Below are 18,748 nucleotides of genomic sequence, written 5' to 3' on the forward strand. Positions count from 1 at the left end.
TGAGTTAGGGACGAAGGAGATTTGTGACTTTCTACCAAGTTGGACTTGTTCAGCGTTCTCAGGGCACTCAGTCAGCTGGCCAGCTCCAAGGGATGGAGGGGCTTCCCGGCAGTAGCCAGTTAAGATGCAAACCTTTCACTTAAAAACACGCCTCTGGTGATTAGGCAACTATTTTTAGAAGCCAGTTTTGGGGGGATTGTTTCTATTTAAATAGGCTTTTAGTTTAGAATAGTTTTAGATTTGCAGGGAAGTTGCAAAGATAATGCAGAAAGGTCCTGTACCCCCCAACCCAGCTTCCCCTAACGTTAGCATCTTACAGCTCTCGGGACTACTTGTCCTAAGGAACTGACACTGGGCATTGTCGGGAAACTCCATAGTTTATTTGGATTCCCCTGTTTTCCCCTGAATGTCTTTTTCTGTCCCAGGAGCCCACCTTCCATTTAGTCCGCATGTCTGCTTAACCCTGAGGCCTTTGCTTTTTGCACTGGGAGACAAAGCAGAGACCTTCGGATTCTCAGCAAGCCTCCACCAGGCTCCTGGCGTTGCCCTCCTCGAGCTGCACCCAACGTTCATTTTTCATGCACGGCCATCGGTAGAGCTGCCTGGATGATGAGGAGATGAAGAGTGAGTCAGGGACAACGCAGGAAAGAGAGTGCGGCTGAGAGGAATGCCCACAGCAAGGCCGGGCGCCAGGCAGACAGGGCTGGGTGAGGAGAGCGGGGATGCAGGCTCTCTGCATATTCCGTGACTCTGGCTGCCCCTGCTCTGGCCAGCTGAGCAGTGTCCTTGGTGATGTGGTCCCAGCAGAAGCCAGGGCCGCCACCTCTTTCTTCGTTGCAGAGTGCTCTGCAGAGAACTTGGGGGACCCGAGAGGCCAGTCCCTGGGACTGCAGCCTGCTGAGGCTGCCCTTCCGCTTGGCCAATCCCACGAGTTTTCCCCACCCTCGCGGGGGTGAGTCCAGGACCCAGTTACCAGCTGGCCTCCTCTAGTCTTCTGGGCTCTGAGAGGTCTTGAGCTGTGCTCCTAAACATCCCCGGGCCATAGACACACAAAGCTTGCCATGTATCTGGGCATGAACTGGACAGCTCTGAGTAAAGCCCCAGGGGGGCATGGCACCCACCGTCAGGGTGGCTGGCTATGGAGGCCACAGAGCTGGGCAAGCCTTCTCTGGGGCCCAGCACTGGGGTCCCTCCTCCCTCTGTGTCCTCCTCATGGCTGCCCTCAGCCTCGTCCCGGAGCTCCCATCTTCTCAGCTTCCTTCCGTCCTGGGAGATGGGGTCATCTCCTGCCCTGGGCCCACCTCTGCCGTCTTGGCAAAGGCACACTGCAGGCTCTGCGGCATCGGGCACACGCTCTGCTGTCTCCTGACCCCTGGGGTTCGGTTTCTTCTCCTTGCCCTCCTCTTGTGCTTCTTGGAGCCCTGAGCATCAGCCTCCGGACTCCTGACAGCTTCCCTTTGGGTGGATTCTCAGACTCCTGCAGTGCTTTCTGAGACCTCTATAAGCCCCTTTTTCTGGAAAGCCCACCGTGGCCTCCCCCTGCAGCCTTGGCTGAGGTCTGGTCCCCAGGACCAGCACACCTCCCATGGGGACCCCACCGGGTTGGCCTCTTGCCTTCCTCATCTTTGCCTCCTGCAGAGGCTGGCCGCGTTTCTGTGTCTAGAGCTGCATCGGAGCTGCACTCACACTGTGAAGGGCTGGGGAGCTGTGCAGCCAACAGCCAGCGGGCTGGCCTCAGGGGCCACCTCCAGTGCCACTCTGCCATGCGTCTCCACATGGGCGAGCAGTGGACATGTCCGACTTCACATTTGCACTGCCACACTCCTGGTCTACACCAGGCCGTTCTTCCCGCAGCTTTCCCCAGCTCAGGAATGAAGCCCCAGGGATGCCAGACCCGAAGCCTGGGAGCCTTCCTGAAGCTTCTTCTTCTCTTACACCCCATCCCGTCTGTCAGCACATCCTGTGGACGCCCCCACCTGATCTCCCCAGGGACCCATGCTGCACTCACCTGCACTGTCACCTAGGTCGGCCCCCACCACACCCCACACCAGGCCTGTACCTCGCCTTGTGGGCGCCAGGGCTGATGTCTGCAGAGCTGCTCCGAGCTCCCCTCTGCCCAGCCTAGGCATGAGCCCCTCTCCAGAGTGTCCTTCCAATCCCCCACACTGCTTCATTCCCTGAGGCTCTCACCCCATCTGAATATCTGTAGATCTCCTTGCACTATTGTTCCCCCACTGGAATATAAGTTCCCTGAAGGCTGGGCCCTGGGCACCCGGCATTGTGCCCGGCACATAGCAGGTGCTCAACAAATATTGAATGAATGAATGAATGAATGAATGAGCTATCAGGACTTGAAGCAGCAAGGGGCCCTTTCAGGGGGTGGTGGAGCCCCCTGGACCTGGACTTCTGAGGCCTAGAGGAAACAGAGACACCTAGGACCCCAGCTGAAGCTGCCCTGGAAGGACAGATGGGCAGAGGATATGAAAACCAAAGCCAATGGCCCTCCAATGGGGTGGGTGTCTGCCCAGGCATGGGGATGGGCCCCGAACAGGCCACAGACCTACAGGCAGAATTCAGCACCAGGAAGCACCGACGTGAGGTCCCCGTGCAGCAAATCAGGTTTGTCTTTTATCGCCAGTATCATTAATTGTATCATTTTCTCCCAGCCCTGAATCAGTCCGGGCAGTTCACGTCAAGACCTGGGGCCTGCCCCGCAGAGGGGCCTGAACCATCCACCTCCCCCTGCAGCTTGGACATCGACTGTCCTGGACTTGAGAAGTGCTGCCCCTGGTCAGGGGGGCGCTACTGCATGGCCCCTGCACCCCAAGGTAGGCTGCTGCGGGCCATGCTTATGGACAGGCAGCAAAGGCGGGTCTCGGTGAGGCCTGATCTGTGTGAAGGTGTGGGGGGGAGTGTGTTTCTAGGAGCAGTGACCGATTTCATCAGGAGCCCCCACCGTGTGCACAGGCAGCACCTGCTCTTAGATAATTTCTTAGTCAAAATCTGGCCACTGAACTCTCGGGGGAGAAATCTCATGGCGCTCTTAGGGGCCCTGAAATGGGAAGACACTTCTGGTGGAGCAGAGACCCGGATTTCCCAGTTTGCCTGGAGAGGCCAGGAGCTCCAGGTAGATTAGTTGCAGGTGTGGAGCTGGCTGTGCCTGCAGTGCCACAGGGGCCTGACGAGCGCCACAGCACCCGTAGGCAGGCCCTGCCACCTCAGATATGCGCCTGCTGGTCTGGAAAGTTCTCTTTTGATTGGGGTCTGCATCCAGGAGAATGGGAGAATGGGATGGCCTATACATATATATATATGTATAATGTTACATATTATTTAATATTTAAAATATTATATATTATAGCGTTAGTATGGTATGCAGTAATAAAGCAATAGTATACATAATATCAGATATTATGATAATACTATATCATTATACTACATGCTATTATATAGTATATATCATATTACATATGATTATACTATCCAATATTTGTAGTATCAATAAAATAATGACAAAGTATAAAGTAATTTTCTATATCAACATACTATGACAGTATAATGAGGCTGATAGGCTCTATTTACCTCCTAAGCAGATCTCTTCAAGGGAAGGCCTGCTGCTGTGGGTCCCAGGCCCAGCTCACCTCTGAGCAGGGATCGGTGGTCTTCAGGGACATTAGGATGGAGAGGAGCGAGGGGCGGGCAGTGAGGACATCCCCCGTCTCCTGTGGTAGATGTCTTTTTGCAGGGAGGTAAATGCAGAGCAGGGCCTCTCATGGCCTCTGGTTCCCTCTCCTGCCCCCTCTCCCACCCCAGCAGCTTTTGTGACTTCAACCTGTCCTGGGTCCATAATCATCAGTGTTTTCCCTTGTGTAGCTCCAGAGAGGGACCCTGTGGGCTCCTGGTACAACGTCACCATACTGGTGAAAATGGACTTCAAGGAACTCCAGCAAGTGGACCCCAGGCTCCTGAACCACATGCGCCTTCTGCATTCCTTGGTAGGTGAGACAGACGGGGGCTGCCTGCACCCTCCTTGTGGCAGCTGCTCAGGCAGACCCAGGTATGGGGCCGTGGAAGGGACCTGGGGGTTGGGGAGGGTGATGTTCCCCAAATGGCCCCAAATGACTGACTCTGAACGAAATTCTAGTTCTTAAAAAATCAGCTTCAAAGAGGTATGATTTACATGCAACAAAATGCACACAACTGAAGCGTGTAGTTGGCTGAGTTGTTATGTGTGTACCCTCATAGGCCCGCCTGTCGTGGTGGAGAACGCGGATCCCTAAGCTTGCAGGGGTCTGCAGTCCCAGCAAAGACAGCCTAAGCCCCGAGCTCTTCCCTCACCACCCTCAGTCCCAATTTCTTCAAGTTCTGGCTCCTGCTTCGTGGAAGCCAGCACCAACCTGGGAGTGCTGAGATGGGAACCGTAGCCCAGGGCTGGAGAGCACCCTGGGGTCTGATGGTTAGCAGCGCCCCTGGCCTCTCCACACAAGTCAGAAGCACACCCCAGGGTGGCATCCAAAACTGTCTCCAGACGTCGCCCACTGTCCCCTGGGGATAAAAACAAACACCCTGGCTGACCCTTGCTGATGACACAGGTCATGCTTTCTGGCCCATCAGCAGTGATTACCAACCAGGATGTCTTCTCCAGCTCAGGCCACCATCAGTCTCGGGAATCCCAGTGTGGACAGGGCGCTGCGTGTCCCCAAGGCTGCCGCGTGTCCCCAAGGCCGCCCTCCCTGGGGGATGGTCTGGCTTCAGGACCGGCTGCTGACAGGGGCTTGTGCTCAGAGGGGCCTCAGCTTGGTCTAATGTGCTGCTGTTGCCTCTGGAAATGCCGAACACTTTTCAGACAAGGGGCCCCGCATTTTCCTTTGGCATCTGTGTAGCTGTTCTGTGCTTCAGATCTTTTGTGTGTCCCATATGTCCCTGGGTGTCTTGGTGTCAAACCCAGGGTTGGGTCACTCCTTGGCCGTTAGACTAAGCTGGCTGGCAGCCCAGATCAGATGGTGCACACCTCATGTTGTTCTGGGCTGCTGGCCAGTGAGCTGCTAGACAGGTAGTCTGCAGCCTCGGCCTTAACAGCCCGGGCTAGGAGTGATTCCTGTTTCCTCTTAGCTTGTTAAGGGGACTGCCCAATTGGCCAGTAAGAAACTAGCTCTGAAGCCACACTGCCTGGCCCTAGTGTTGCCACTCATCAGCTGTGTGACCTTGGGTAAGTCACTTAACCTCTCTGTGCCTGAGATACCTCCTCCATTAAACATAAATAATCGGCCAGGAGTGGTGGCTCAAGCTTGTAATCCCAGCACTTTGGGAGGCCGAGGCAGGCGGATCACTTGAGGTCAGGAGTTAAAGACCAGCCTGGCCAACATGGCGAAACCCTGTCTCTACTAGAAATCCAGTAATTAGCCAGGCGTGGTGGCACGTGCCTGTAATCCCAGCTACTGGGGAGGCTGAGGCAGGAGAATTGCTTGAACTCAGGAGGCGGAGGTTGCAGTGAGCTGAGATCGTGCCACTGCACTCCAGCCTGGGCTACAGAGCGAGACTCTTGTCTCTAAATAAATAAAAAGTAAATAAATAGAAATAATCATAACCCTGCCTGAGACAGGGCCATGAGCTTAAATCATACATGTAAAGAGCTTGAGATGGTTCCTGAGCTTCCTGATGCGTGTGGGGCCTGAGATGTTGTGGTTGTTGTGTTTTCAATATTGCTGCGTGACACCTGCTGTCTCCTCGTGCATGTAGGTTTCATGTCTCCAACCAGCCCATTACCCCCTGCAGAAGCGCCTGCCTTGCACAGGGGTCAGGCACCAGCAGGGGCTGGTCTCTGAGGCCTGCTTCTGCTGCTGAATAAGGGGTTCCGATGAGGTCGGGGCTGGTTCCCAGTTCTGTATGCTAAATTATGAGCTGCATCTCCTCCCAGGAAGGGGCTTCAAGTGTGTATCGGAGGACTCCTGCTCTCCCCAAACCTCCTTTGGAGTTCCCAGTGGAGGCTTGGGGGTTTGCTGGCAAAGTTTGTTCTGGTGACCACTGGTCTGGCTGTGCAGCTGCCAGTTCACCTGGCTTCCCAAGGGTTGAGATTTCAAGATATTAAGCTGAAATAAAAATACTGCATATGAAATGAGGAAAGTGATCATTAAACCTCAGAAAAATAATTGGATGTGTACAACAGGAGACCGTGGCTTTTGATCTCTAATTGTCTAATTCTAGTTCTAATTCTCTGTTGTCAGCTGCAAGAGACCTGCAGTCTTGGCAAGGGCAGAAGACCGAGGGTCCTGGGTCTGGCTGCTGTATTAGTGTCCTGGGGCCACTGTAACCAAGGACCACAGACTGGGGGCTTCAAACAACAGAAACTTATTCTGTCACAGTTCTGGGGGCTGAAGAGTCTGAAATCAAGGTGTCGGCAGGGCTGGTTCCTCCTGAGGCCCCCAGGCCTCTCTCCTTGGCCTGCAGACGGCTGTCTTCTCTGTCTCTTCACACTGTCTTCCCCCATTCATGTCTGTTTCTGTGTCCAAATTTCCCCTTTTTGTGAGGGCACCAGCCATATTGGATTAGAACCCACCTTCACTAATTATATCTGCAGTAACCCTATTTCCAAATAAGGTCACATTCTGAGGTACTGGAGGTTAGGACTTCAACATATGGATTTTAGGGGACAGAATTCAGCTTATCACAACTGGTACTGAAAGGTACTGATAGTTCCGGTTTGTAGGACTTCTATTGGGATAGTGATGGATAGATAAGTACTGTAGAGGTTCTTTGCTGAAGAGCAGAATGGTACGTGTGTGTGGACAGTTCATTTCAGCTCTGCGGGCCTCAGTCTCCTCGTCTGTCTGACGGGGTGTCCTTCTGCTGTGTGACACTCTGATTCTGCCTTCACAGGTCACCAGCGCCCTGCAACCAATGGCCTCCACCGTCCACCACCTGCACTCAGCCCCTGGGAACGCCTCCACCACAGTGTCGCGGCTGCTACTGGGCCTGCCACGGCCACTGCCTGTGGCTGACGTCTCCACCCTGCTGGGTGACATTGCGAAGCGTGTCTATGAAGTGATCAGCGTCCAGGTGCAAGGTTGGGCTTCCCTCAATCCTCCCTCTGGGGAGGCTGCAGGGTGGTGCCTGAACAGCCAAAATGCAAGGTGGACGCTAAAGCCAGACCAGTCCTTTGTCTTTTAAAGGAGGTTTAAGTTCAGGAGCAAAAGAATAACTGGTTCAAGTGTGTTCATCCCACAGGTGTGGGACCCATCTTCAGCTCACCCTGTAAATTCCAAGTCCCCAAGTGCAGACCTCTAGAACTTATTTTGCCCCCCATTTCCCGCCCCTCTCCTCTTCCCTCCATCTCTCCTCGGATCCCTCTGGCCTCCTGCCCCCTCGGCAGGCTTCTCCTTCCATCCTAGTGGACACTGGAGTGCAAATCCCAGAGCCACACACAAAGAACTTGTTTCTTCATTTCTTTGGTTTCCTAAATTTCCCTCTCGCCTCTTTCCCACCCTTGCCAAGGACATCCTTGTACTCCAAAGGCTCCTTCAGCACAATTTGTCTAAAGTTGAATTTGTATCTGGCAAAGCACATAGACGTGGCCTTGTTTCTGGAAGAAATTACCTATTCTTTGTTGTTGTTGTTCTATGTCAGGAATTGGCAAGCCTCATCTAAAAGGGATCAGATAGTAAATATTTTTGGCTTTGCGGGCCCACGTGGTCTCTGTCTCAACGACTCAGCCCTGCTGTTGTAGTAGTCACAGACAGTCCGCAAGCAAACCCCTGGGCTCCCGTACGGCTTCCTGTACCCAAGCAGGAGGCAGCCAGGCTAGTCTGCTGCTCCCAGGGCTTTGCAGGAGGGTGGCTGCCTTGGTGAAGCCTCTTCTATGACACTGAGGAGGCACGTGACAATGCCAGGGCTCAGAGCCGTGTGAAAGCTCTAGTGATTGCATTGATCTCCCTTCAGATCCGCACATGTTCTGCAGAACCAAGCTGCATTGCTCTAGTGCCATTAAGCAAAGTGCTCGTTCTGTCATCTGCTCTGTCAATGACCTTTGGCCAGAGGTTGCAGGAGCACACCTGTGGGTGGACCAGTTGAGTTTATTATTCGAGGCAGCGAGGGAGAACCCACACCATGGAGAACCATGTGGTTTCTCAGTAGGAGATTGTTAGAAAGAACCTGTTATAGGATGTGGGTTTTGACTGGGTGGTTTGGGGAGGGTCTAGGGAAGTGTGATTTTGTTCTGAATTGAATGCCATCAGAAAATGGAGGCAACTCCACGACTGGGAATGTCAATACATCTAAGCAAAAGAGATGGGAACAATTGCATAAAGATAAGCCATAGTTTGTAAAGAACTAATAATCACTCATTTGGGCCAAGGGAGGGGCATTAGTATTTTGTGGGTGACACATGAGCTTATCGCGCTGTCTGTACTTAGACAGCATTATGAAGAGGCCCTGTCTGAGGCTGGCTGCTGTGAGATGGTTCTGTTTGGGAGGCCTGGGCCAGCCTCAGAACGTCAGGGGTGGCTCTGGGTTTCCTTGTTGGCGCAGAAAACACCCACTGATTTACTTTACGCTTGGGGTGGGATGTTTTGGCCCCACCTTTTCATGACCACTCAGACTCAGTCCAGCCCAGAGTGATTTGCTCACGTGAGGCTGCCCGGTGAGCCAGCCGCGAGCCCTGCCTGAACGTGGGCTGCTGCTTGGATGACGATGGCCAGCAGCCGCACAGGGCCTTCTAAGACGAGACTTCCATAGTCTCCCTTGGGATCACTGCCCAAGGCACCCCTCAACCGACGTGGCACAAATCCGTGGCACGAGTCCACAGAGGCCGTGTGTGTGCAGGTAGATGAAGATGACGAGGTAGCTGCGACTGCTGAGTGTGGGTCCTGCTCTCCTTCCCTGTAGATGTCAATGAGTGTTTCTATGAGGAGCTCAATGCCTGCTCTGGAAGGGAACTGTGCGCAAACCTGGAGGGCTCGTACTGGTGCGTCTGTCACCAGGAAGCTCCAGCCACGTCTCCACGGAAGCTGAACCTGGAGTGGGAAGGTAATGGCTAGGCTCTCTCAGATGGCATGGGAATGGCTTAATTCCTGTTTGCCCCGGGAATACTCACCAGCAGTGCTTACAGCTGCAGCATTCACCCCGAGATAACTCTGCCATGAAATATCTTGCTTTTATTATTATTTTCGCATCACTGTGGTATATTGACTTTGGAAACAGAGGACACAATTCTACTTATAGCATTCTGCTTTTAGTAGTGGTATTTCCATTTACAAAATATAGTGATTCTCAATCACTGAAAATGTCAAATCCTAGAAAACAGCAGTCCCACGTGTGTTGTTAACATTGTTCTCGAACAAGTTGTTGGCCGACGATTCATTTGCTGAACCTGTTTTTCTGAAATAGATGATTCTGATGATTCAGACAGTTCTGATGTTAGTTCTGTTTAGAAGTAATTCCAAGAACAGTTTTTATATTTTGTTTTCATATTGAAAATCAGTTAGATTTGCTTCAGCCCCAAAGAGCTTGTTTATGTAAAATTAAATGAGTGCCGGCAGTGAGCTGCCGTTTTTTTCTTCGAAACGGGAAAAGGGTGAAGGCATTTTTTAAAGGCTGGATGGTCTTCAGACCACAGGGACTCTTCTTGCCAAGAGGGAATGGCTGGCTAACCGGCACAGAATACACTTAGTTCTTTCAGCCATTATTGATCTCCTAGTGGGCCACCCTCGCATCTTCTTTGGCTTAGGAAATGTTGATTTAGGTGCTATTCACTGTGCTAGGTGCTGGTAATGGAAGCATGCAGAAGCAGGTCCTAATCTCTGCCTGTCTAGTGGATTGTGGAAATGGAGACATTTTGGCGCATGAAAGGGCAGGACTGATGTCTGCACTGGAACCACGAGGATAAGCTGGGACCATCCCTAGCATCGCGGGATCAGCCTGGAGAGCAGAAGAGCGGACTGGGTGTTGGGGGAAGCATGTAGATAAACGTGCCCAGGTCTGTCCCTGTTGGGAGTGGGGAGGGATGTACCAGCCAGGACTGGCACACGGGATTGGCTCTGCCATCAAGCAGCTTGGAAGAAGAAGTAACTGTGTAATCTGAAATGTAGGAAGGTGCTATAAAGACGATACTCTGAGTGCAGGAGTCTAGGGTGTGGAAGGTGGTGGAGAAAGGGATTCCGGCAACATTTTAGAGATAGAACCTCTGGAACTTATTGATTAATTCAGTGAAGAAGAGGAAAAAGGAAAGAAGACGGAATCCAGATGTCTTGACTGAACAGTGGAGTAGAAGGTGTTTCCATTGGAGAGGATGGGGAAGACCCGAGCTGTTGTTATTATTGTCAATAATAGTTATAGCTGAGATGGAGTGAGTGGCGGTGCCAGGATGCTGATTGAGTTGGACGCGTGGTGCTGGAGCACAGAGGCGGGGCTGGGCTGCATACGTGAGTCCAGGGTCACCTCCAGGTGACACTTAAACCATGGTATGGCTGAGAGAAGGGAAGAGGCCTGGGGCCTGTGGCCAGAGAACCCCAACAGTGCCAGGTCAGTGCAGGAGGAGAGGCTGCAGATGACCTGGGTAAGGCAGGAAAACAGCTGGAAGGGCGTGCGCAGCAAGGTCAGCAGGGAAGGCTCAGCAAGCCCCAAGCGAGCAAGCGGTAAGCTGGCCGGCAAGCAGGGAGGGTACACGCATGGGTAACAGCAGGGCAGGAAAGTGCCTGTGGGAACTACGGGGATCCGGTGCAGACTTCAGGAGAGCAGAAGGGAAGCAGCCAGCAGCCCGGGTTAGGAAGACAGCTGGAGGAGAGAAAGAAGCGAGAATAGCCGAGAATCCTGCAGGGAAGCTTGACTATGAACAGGCTGAGGGAAGGAAAGCCTGATGTGGAGGAGGCTGTGGACTCCCAGGGGGTCTCTCAAAAGACAGGCGAAGCTGATCCCGGCTCTTTCTATTCCCTGTTCCTTTCCAGGTTTTGACCTTATTGAACGCAGGGTTGAGGGTTTTTTTGTTTTTTTTTTTAAACCTTATTTAAATCCTGCTACATGTGTAATTTTATAAGCTGCTTTCTTCAGTTCCTATAATGTGTATAAAGTTTCCAAGAAGAAGCCTGGTTTTCACCATGATAATTATTGGTGGTTGAAAACTAGTGGCTTTCTAAAGCAATCATATAATATTCTTTCCCCTCACGGGAGCACTTCTGTTGCTTTCAAGAGTCTGGAACTGTAACCTTGTGACAGGGGTTACAGGGAATCTCTTTATATCCAATTTGAATTCGTTAATCATTTAATTTGCATGTTCTTTTTCCTTAAAAGGGACTCAACATTGAGGACCATCCCTTTGTTCACAATAACACCACAGCTGGCAGTTGCCCGCACTTCACGCGCTCTGGGCTCTGCTCTGAGCACTCTGTGGGTATTGCTTCGTTTAAATTCTTAGACTAACCCCAAGAGGCAACTACTCTCCTTAAGCTCATTTTTTTTTTCAGAAGAGGAAATTGAGGGGGACGAAGGTGATTTTCTTGCATAAGATCCCAAGGCTGGTCCTCTGAAGACGCACATGAACCAGCTGTGTCCCAAGGCTGTCTTCCCTAGGAGCCCTCTGGCGGGGACCTGCCTGAGAGTGTGATGGGCTCTCCCCCGCCCTCGGGGGCTGCCTTTTGTCCCAGTGCACTCAGGAAAACCGCCATGCCCTTTCCAACCTTCATGAGTGCTTAGGACCAAGAGTTGGGTAGAGCTCCAGAAGAGTTGAATTATTTTATTTGGCGTTCTAGAACCCAACTAGGAAAAGGAGTCTAAGGTTCTGGTTTATTTATTTATTTAATTAATTTTATTGTTTGTTTTTTATAGAGACAGGGTCTTACTCTGTCACCCAGGCTGGAGTGCAGTGGCGTGATCGCCGGTCACTGCAGCCTCCAGCTCCCAGGCTCCAATCTCAGCCTCTGGAGTAGCTGGGACCACAGGCATGCACCACCACAGCCATGCGCCACCACAGCTGGCTCATTTTTAAATTTTTTTGTAGAGACGAGGTCTCACTGAGTAGCCCAGGCTGTTCTCAAGCTCCCAGCCTCAAGAGATCCTTCCTCCTTGGCCTCACAAAGCGCTGGGATTGCAGGCAGGAGACCCCGTGTTCAGCCTAAGGTTCTGATTGGCTCTTCTCGTTGTCCTGTGGGCGAGGGGTTGGGGGAGTGGACCAGTTCCCAGAGCCAGCTGTGGATGTGGCGGGCTCCAGGGTCAGATCTTCCCCCCATCACCAGGAACGTTCCCCTCCTATCAGAATGAGGCTGTGTGGGGAGAGCGGACTTGCCCTCCACCCACTGGCAGATGAATCCCTGGTGCCCCGCAAAGAGCAGGCACTCCACAAACGTTTCCTGGATCAATCACGGAAAGAGAGGTTTTCACAGTGGTCATCCCCGGGGTCTCCAGGTATTAAAAATTTCCAGCCCAGCTCTGCCAGCAAAACACTGAGAACACTCCTGTACCCCGCAGCACGTGGCCTTGAGATCCACTTAGAACTTCGCGCCACGTCCACATCCCACGGCACCCCACTAAGCTCTGCAGAGAACTGTCTATAGATTCCTGCTCTGTGGCTTCCAGGGTGAGAATCCTGTCCCTTTCGTGAGCACAGAAGGTTGGAAAACAGGTATTTTCCAAATAGTTATTTTTACCCTGGTCAGTCATCCGGAAAAATATTAGATTCTATTTACGGTTAGGTTTGTTGGCAGTCACACTCTGCCGTGTTGCTTGGCACAGTGAACTGCCAGATTGCGTCAGGATACAGGGCCGCTCGAGCGACCGCCAAACACAAAGAGGGGAGGCTGCGCGGCCCCAGCTTCACTTCTAATAGGGCAGGACACACTAATCCAGTGTTTCCAGATCAGCAGTTTAGAGTGAATTCCAATTGCATATTGCTAAGGGAAACAGCATCCCCGGCACCTTCCCTGCTGAACCAGAGATGAGTCACGGCTGCCCGGGAAGAAACAAGGGCCAGACTGTCAGACGTGGAGAACCCAGGGTGCTTTACCCAGATAGAGGCAAAGTTCTGAACTTGTGTTCCTAGCTGTGGTTGGGGAGGGCTGTGGAGCAAGGGCTCTGGGGCCTGAAGTTTAGATTATCCGCATTGCCGTGGCCTTGGGTCATACAAACCCAGAGTCAAGAGCATCATTTTCTAGGGCCACATTTAAGGGGGACACTGAAAAGGGTCCCCATTTAAGGGTAACCAAAGGAGGGTGTCCTGGCTAATGAAAAACCAAAAACCAAGTTATAGGGGCCTACCCTGGAAGAGAGGAGTCGGGGGTAGAAGGAAGATTTCCAGTTTTAAAATACCCCAAGGTCTGTCCAACAAAAGAGAGATTGGCCTTAGCACGTTAGAAGTTGGTTGGTTGGTTTTACAACACAAAGAAAACTCTCCAAGCTGTGCTGTCCAGCCACGGGAACAGCTGCCGTGAAATTTCGTAGATATGTAAGTTTCCCGGGTTTCCCTAACAAAGGCCCATGAACTGGGTGGCTTCAAACAAGAGAAATGTATCCTCTCACAGTTCTGAGGACCAGAAATTTGAAATAGTTACCACTGGGCCTAAATCAGGTTGCCAGCAGGGCTGTGCTCCCAGGAGGCTCTGGGAGAATCCATTCCTTGCCTCTCTGCCCTCTGGTGGCTGCCGGCATTCCTTGGCTTGTGGCTGCATCACTCCTTTGTTTTCTTCTGCTGTTTTTTTTTTTTTTTTTTTTTTTGAGACAGGGTCTTGCTCTGTCACTCAGGCTGAAGTACAGTGGCACAGTCTCGGCTCACTGCAGCCTCCACCTCCTGGGTTCAATTAATCCTCCTAGCTCAGCCCCCCAAGTAGCTGGGACTATAGGCACACATCACTACGTCTGGCTAATGTTTGTGTTTTTTGTAAAGATAGGGTCTTGCTATATTGCCCAGGCTGGTTTCAAACTCCTGGGCTCAAGCCATCCGCCCACTTTGGCCTCCCAAAGTTCTGGGATTACAGATGTGAGCCACCACGCCCAGCCCTACTCCATCTTCAAGGTCAACATCTTTGTTTTTTCTCTATTCCAGCTTCATACCGCCTTCTCCTTTGTGTGTGTGTGTGTGTCTGTGTATAAATCCCCCCGATTCTCTTTTATAAGGACACTTGTGATTGCATTTAGGGTGTACCTGGGAAATCCAGGATTATCTTTCCATCTGAAGATACTTCACTGAATCACATCTGCAAAGATTCCTTTTCCAAATAAGGTCACAGTCGTAGGTTGCAGGGATTAGGACTTGATATCTTTGAAGCTCATTATTCAGCCTGCTACTGGTGATAGGAAAGCTTAGTAGTAAGGCAAGTGAACTTTGCTATTTCCTATTGTTCAGCTTTGCCATTTACTACCTACTTGACCTTTCTAGGCCTCAGTTTTGTCCTCTGTAAAATGGGGATCCTAGAAGAACTTATTACCTGGGATTGCTGTAAGGACTAAATAGGATAACATGGCTGGTGCACACAGTACCCAGGAAACATTACCTGTAACCATGTCGCTGATAGCTTGGCTGGTTTGTGACATGGATGTCATGGGAGGGAGTACTGCAGGGGGCTCACACCAGGGAGTTAATTTATAGCTCCCTGCAAGTTCCTACCGCTGCTATAATGCATGCTGCGTTAGCTTGGACACTGTGGACCTTAACTCATCATTGTTCCCTCAGTGTTTATGGTGATGCTGGGTGCATAGTAGAAGCTCAATTAAAAAAAATTGAGCCATAAGAAATTGGTGCCCTTATTGGTCAAACATGGTCAAATATGGACAATTCCAAATGCTTCAAGGTAACACACTGGAGAAAGGGCCACACAGATATTGGATGGGAACATTGTCCTCAGGGATAATGCATTTCTTTGGATTAGATGAGATTCTTTTACCCCAAATGCTTGCAATCTCTCTTAGTTGCAAAAGTCACTGACGGCAGCTTCTGCAGATGCCTCGGAGGGCTTCACAGCATTTGAAATGCCAGGTTTGCAGGTCCCCCATCCAGTGATCCAAAAACCCCCTGGCATCTTAATTTAAAGAGTAAATATACTTATTAAAAGAGGTAAAGCATGCATTGCCAGCCCCGTACCCTGTGAGACTTCTTTCCAAACACCATTCCTCTGCGTTCTTTTCAAATAAGTACGGGTGCCCTTTTAATTTTAACTCTGCTCCGTTCAGAAGCACTCCTTATAGAATGCGTTTTTAAATGGCCTGTAATCTGGGTGGGCCATCTGTTGTCCCACCCATGTGCTCTCTCGCTCTGCGTCAAGTTTGATATCTGAATGGCAACAAGGAGGCAAGGTTGGAGCCCTGGGTGTGGGCTGGGGGGCTGCTGTTATAGCTGCTGCGCCTGCTCGTGGCCGCCCCACTTTCCTGTTTGCAGGGCGTTTTGCTGTCACACCATCCTCCACCAACGTGGATTAAAAAAATGCTTGGGGCTGTGTCCTGACTGTACAAAAATAGAACAGTCAGTGCTTTTAGCAGACTTTTTGGAAAAGAAATTGTAGCCCGCCCTTCCTTTTTCAGTGAGACATATGTTCCCAAGGAACAGACTTTAAGAAGCCGGGTGGTTGTTAGAAGGCCAGGCAGTGAGTGGGGGGTCTTTTTGATTCCAGGGTTCTGGTGACCCTGGAGACGGGGGTGCCACCCACAATCTCAGGTCCCAAGCTTTGGGCCACCCTCAGTTGAAGCATTTCTGCTTTTCTTGCCACTAAAGAAAATATCATAAAGAATGAATCCATGTCTGTTTCCCTGACCAGTATGCCGAAAATCACTGGACAATCCTGTAAAAAGTATAGATGTGTCTTTTAAAAAACTACATTCTACCCCACATCCTAGAAGTGTTATTAGGACACATCAGAATTTGGATGGATGTCACTGATCCTGTCTGAGTGAAGCCTGTCCAGATTCCAGTAACAGATGCTCATCTGCTGGGAGGTGGAGTGGCAGGTTCTCAGTGAGGGAGCTCACCTACACAGGGACCAAGATTCAAAGGAGGCAGCTCAGTCTCAGGTTGGAAGGAGGAGACAGCAGGGCTATGTCGCGTGGTGGTGACTGGGCACTAAATTGGATTCTGAGCCTCTCAGCAGCCAAGGCGCAAAGGGAAATGAGTTGGACAGTGTTGGGTTTTTTTTGTTTTTGTTTTTGTTATTGAGAGAAAGCAGGCACATATGTCTAAAAGCAGAATTCTTTTCATGATACTAGAAAGCATATATCCTACCAGTCCTTACAGAAAAGGCTTTGGGAAGCCACACATTATAAAATTATTATTTTCTTTACCATGGTTTTGCAAAATATATTTTTAAAAGTTCTTTGTTGCTTATTTTTATAGAGCTTAAATTCTGATGTGAAAATTTTGGTGCGTAGACTGGGGGCCGTCTACTTTTTATATAATTCTTACTGCCCAGACACTTGCTGTACAGCCAGAATGTTTTTAACCAAAAAAGAGCTTCGATGCTATTTGAGCACTAGAATATATATAGGTTGGTACATCAGAGCTTTGCTCTCTGAGGCATGGATTTCAATAGGAAAGCATAAAAAGGGCAATAAAGGAAGCTCAGCCTGATTTCTGAGTCCGGCTTCCTGATGAGGCCATTGTTTATGGAGTGATGAGTCAGCCCAGTGCAGAAGTTCTCGTGCAAATGATCAAGTGCTTGTCATGAATCAGAGCAGCCCAGGGCCTCAGGAGAGGCTGGCAAGGCAGTATTTGTAGATGTGGCACAGAAACCTTACACTGTCGTGGCCATTGCTACAAATGTTTTCTGTACGATGACTGTATACGGGTCCCCAGAGAGACTGTTCTGACTTTCTAGTAACCACCGATTCCGGATCCCAGAGAGCCCCACGACTCAATGCTGTTCACTGTGTAGACAGAGGCACACTTGGATGACTCCCACCCTCTAACTTGGCTCAGTGATAGAGAGGCTGGGATTTCAACTTCAGACCTCTTGCTTCTCCATTTCATCTCAAATATCCCCATCACCTAATGCAATCCTGAGCTACCTTCCAAAATTACTCAGAAGCCTAGAGAGAGAGAAGATTGATACCTCTGTTTTGAATGAATGGGTTGCATTTATTATTGGAAAAAAAAACAGTGAGTGGGTCAGGTGCGGTGGCGCACACCTGTAATCCCAGCACTTTGGGAGGCTGAGGTGGGTGGATCACGAGGTCAGGAGTTCAAGACCATCCTGGCCAACATGGTGAAACCCCGTCTCTACTAAAAATGCAAAAAATTAGCCGGGCGTGGTGGCGAGTGCCTGTAATCCCAGCTACTCGGGAGGCTGAGGCAGAGAATTGCTTGAACCCGGGAGGCAGAGGTTGCAGTGAGCCGAGATCGCACCACTGCACTCCAGCCTGGGTGACAGAGTGAGACTCTGTCTCAAAACAAAAAACAAAAAATAGCCAGTGCTGTTCTGGATGGGTCAACTTGATCAATAAATCAGTGAGAACCAAGTTGAGATGAGGCTCTGTTACCTGCTTCAGAAGAGAAAGCCGCCCTCACTGACCCTTTGCTCATCTTCTCTGTCTGTGCTTTCGTAGATTGTCCTCCAGTCAGTGACTACGTGGTCCTCAACGTCACCAGTGACAGTTTTCAAGTATCCTGGCGTTTAAATTCTACACAGAACCACACTTTCCATGTCCGGGTTTACCGGGGTATGGAGTTGCTCAGGAGCGCCAGGACACAGAGCCAGGCACTGGCAGTGGCTGGGCTGGAGGCTGGAGTGCTGTACAGGGTGAAGACCAGCTACCAGGGGTGCGGGGCCGACGTCTCCACCACGCTGACCATCAAAACCAGTAAGGCCCCCAGTCAGAGACCCACGTTAGCTTGCGAGCTTGTCTTTCTATCCCAGGTCTGTGGCCCTAGCATGTCGCGTTCTTCTTCCTATAACCAGGGCACCAGAAGTCACTGACCGCCCTGCACTTCCTCCCTCCCCTCCCAGTCATCCCACTGCCTGCCCGGCATTGCACCGGCCCGCTGGTGCCTTCACTGGCTCCCTCGCTTCCCTACATGTCGTCCTGTTAGGGGTTCGTTCTGCCGTGTGAGGGGACAACATGTGGACTCAGAAGCACCAATAAGGCATCAGCTAGGGTGAAGCAAAGGAACAAAATAATAATAATAAAGCAGAAGGCGGCAGCTCCTGGCAGGCAGATCCGGACCCTGCCCGCTTACCCAGCAGCACTGAGGCCGTCTAAGTTCCCTCCCCGAGAGGGGAGCATCGCTGACGTTTTCACGCCTTGCTTCACTCATGATGCATGTAAAGCGAATGCCATGCCCACCACATTGGTGCTGGGACAAAACGTTTTTTCTTTTTGAGACAGGGTCTCGCTCTGTCACCCAGGCTGGAGTGTAGTGGTATGATCACAGCTCGCTGCGGCCTCGACCCCCTGGACTCAAGTGATCCTGCCACCTCAGCCTCCCTAGTAGCTGGGACCACAGGCACACACCACCACACCAGGCTAAATTTTTTATTTTTCATAAGGATGGAGTCTTGCCATGTTGCTCAGGCTGGTGTCAAACTCCTGGGCTCAAGTGATCTCAGGAGGCAACTTTTGTCTCCAAAACACACACGACACACACATGAACTTGGGGCTTGTGTCAGGAAGGCAGCCGGTGTGGCCCATCTGGGTCTGTCCCGGGCAGCCCACTTGGCTCTGCCCGTGTCTTGCTCCCCACTTGCCTGGTGCCCGTGGTGCCTAGACTTGGTCAGATGAGGCCTGGCTGGTGGAAGTTCTCCCCCAGGCTGGCATCTGTGGCTGTGGGGTGTGAATGTGGGGTTGC

The 18,748-nt window shown here is 51.2% G+C and overlaps 1 protein-coding gene across 6 annotated transcripts in view, besides 2 other annotated features; it reads left to right on the top strand.

The window, feature by feature from the left end:
* Positions 1 to 18,748, top strand: part of UMODL1 (uromodulin like 1) — an 80,120-nt gene that overhangs the window by 18,541 nt on the left and 42,831 nt on the right. For 4 of the 6 annotated variants that reach the window (NM_001199527.3, NM_001199528.4, NM_173568.4 and 1 more), the window contains exons 3-7: positions 2,667 to 2,828; positions 3,874 to 3,995; positions 6,877 to 7,063; positions 8,881 to 9,021; positions 17,509 to 17,763. In NM_001199527.3, the coding sequence (NP_001186456.2) occupies positions 2,667 to 2,828; positions 3,874 to 3,995; positions 6,877 to 7,063; positions 8,881 to 9,021; positions 17,509 to 17,763 (867 nt within the window). Of the gene's footprint in view, positions 1 to 425; positions 625 to 2,666; positions 2,829 to 3,660; positions 3,750 to 3,873; positions 3,996 to 6,876; positions 7,064 to 8,880; positions 9,022 to 17,508; positions 17,764 to 18,748 lie in introns of those variants that run through there. The other 2 variants (XM_017028507.1, XM_011529797.1) reach the window with 2 other exon arrangements.
* Positions 315 to 1,249: an enhancer, noted in NCBI's record as "H3K27ac-H3K4me1 hESC enhancer chr21:43501841-43502776 (GRCh37/hg19 assembly coordinates)". NCBI's record gives its function as "activates a minimal SCP1, AML or CMV promoter by ChIP-STARR-seq in naive H9 embryonic stem cells {active_cell/tissue: H9 hESC(naive)}" and the evidence as "EXISTENCE:reporter gene assay evidence [ECO:0000049][PMID:30033119]".
* Positions 11,960 to 12,465: an enhancer, noted in NCBI's record as "H3K4me1 hESC enhancer chr21:43513487-43513992 (GRCh37/hg19 assembly coordinates)". NCBI's record gives its function as "activates a minimal SCP1, AML or CMV promoter by ChIP-STARR-seq in primed H9 embryonic stem cells {active_cell/tissue: H9 hESC(primed)}" and the evidence as "EXISTENCE:reporter gene assay evidence [ECO:0000049][PMID:30033119]".

Source organism: Homo sapiens, chromosome 21 (genome assembly GCF_000001405.40).
Source record: "Homo sapiens chromosome 21, GRCh38.p14 Primary Assembly".
In the NCBI taxonomy this organism is placed as follows: Eukaryota; Metazoa; Chordata; class Mammalia; order Primates; family Hominidae; genus Homo; species Homo sapiens.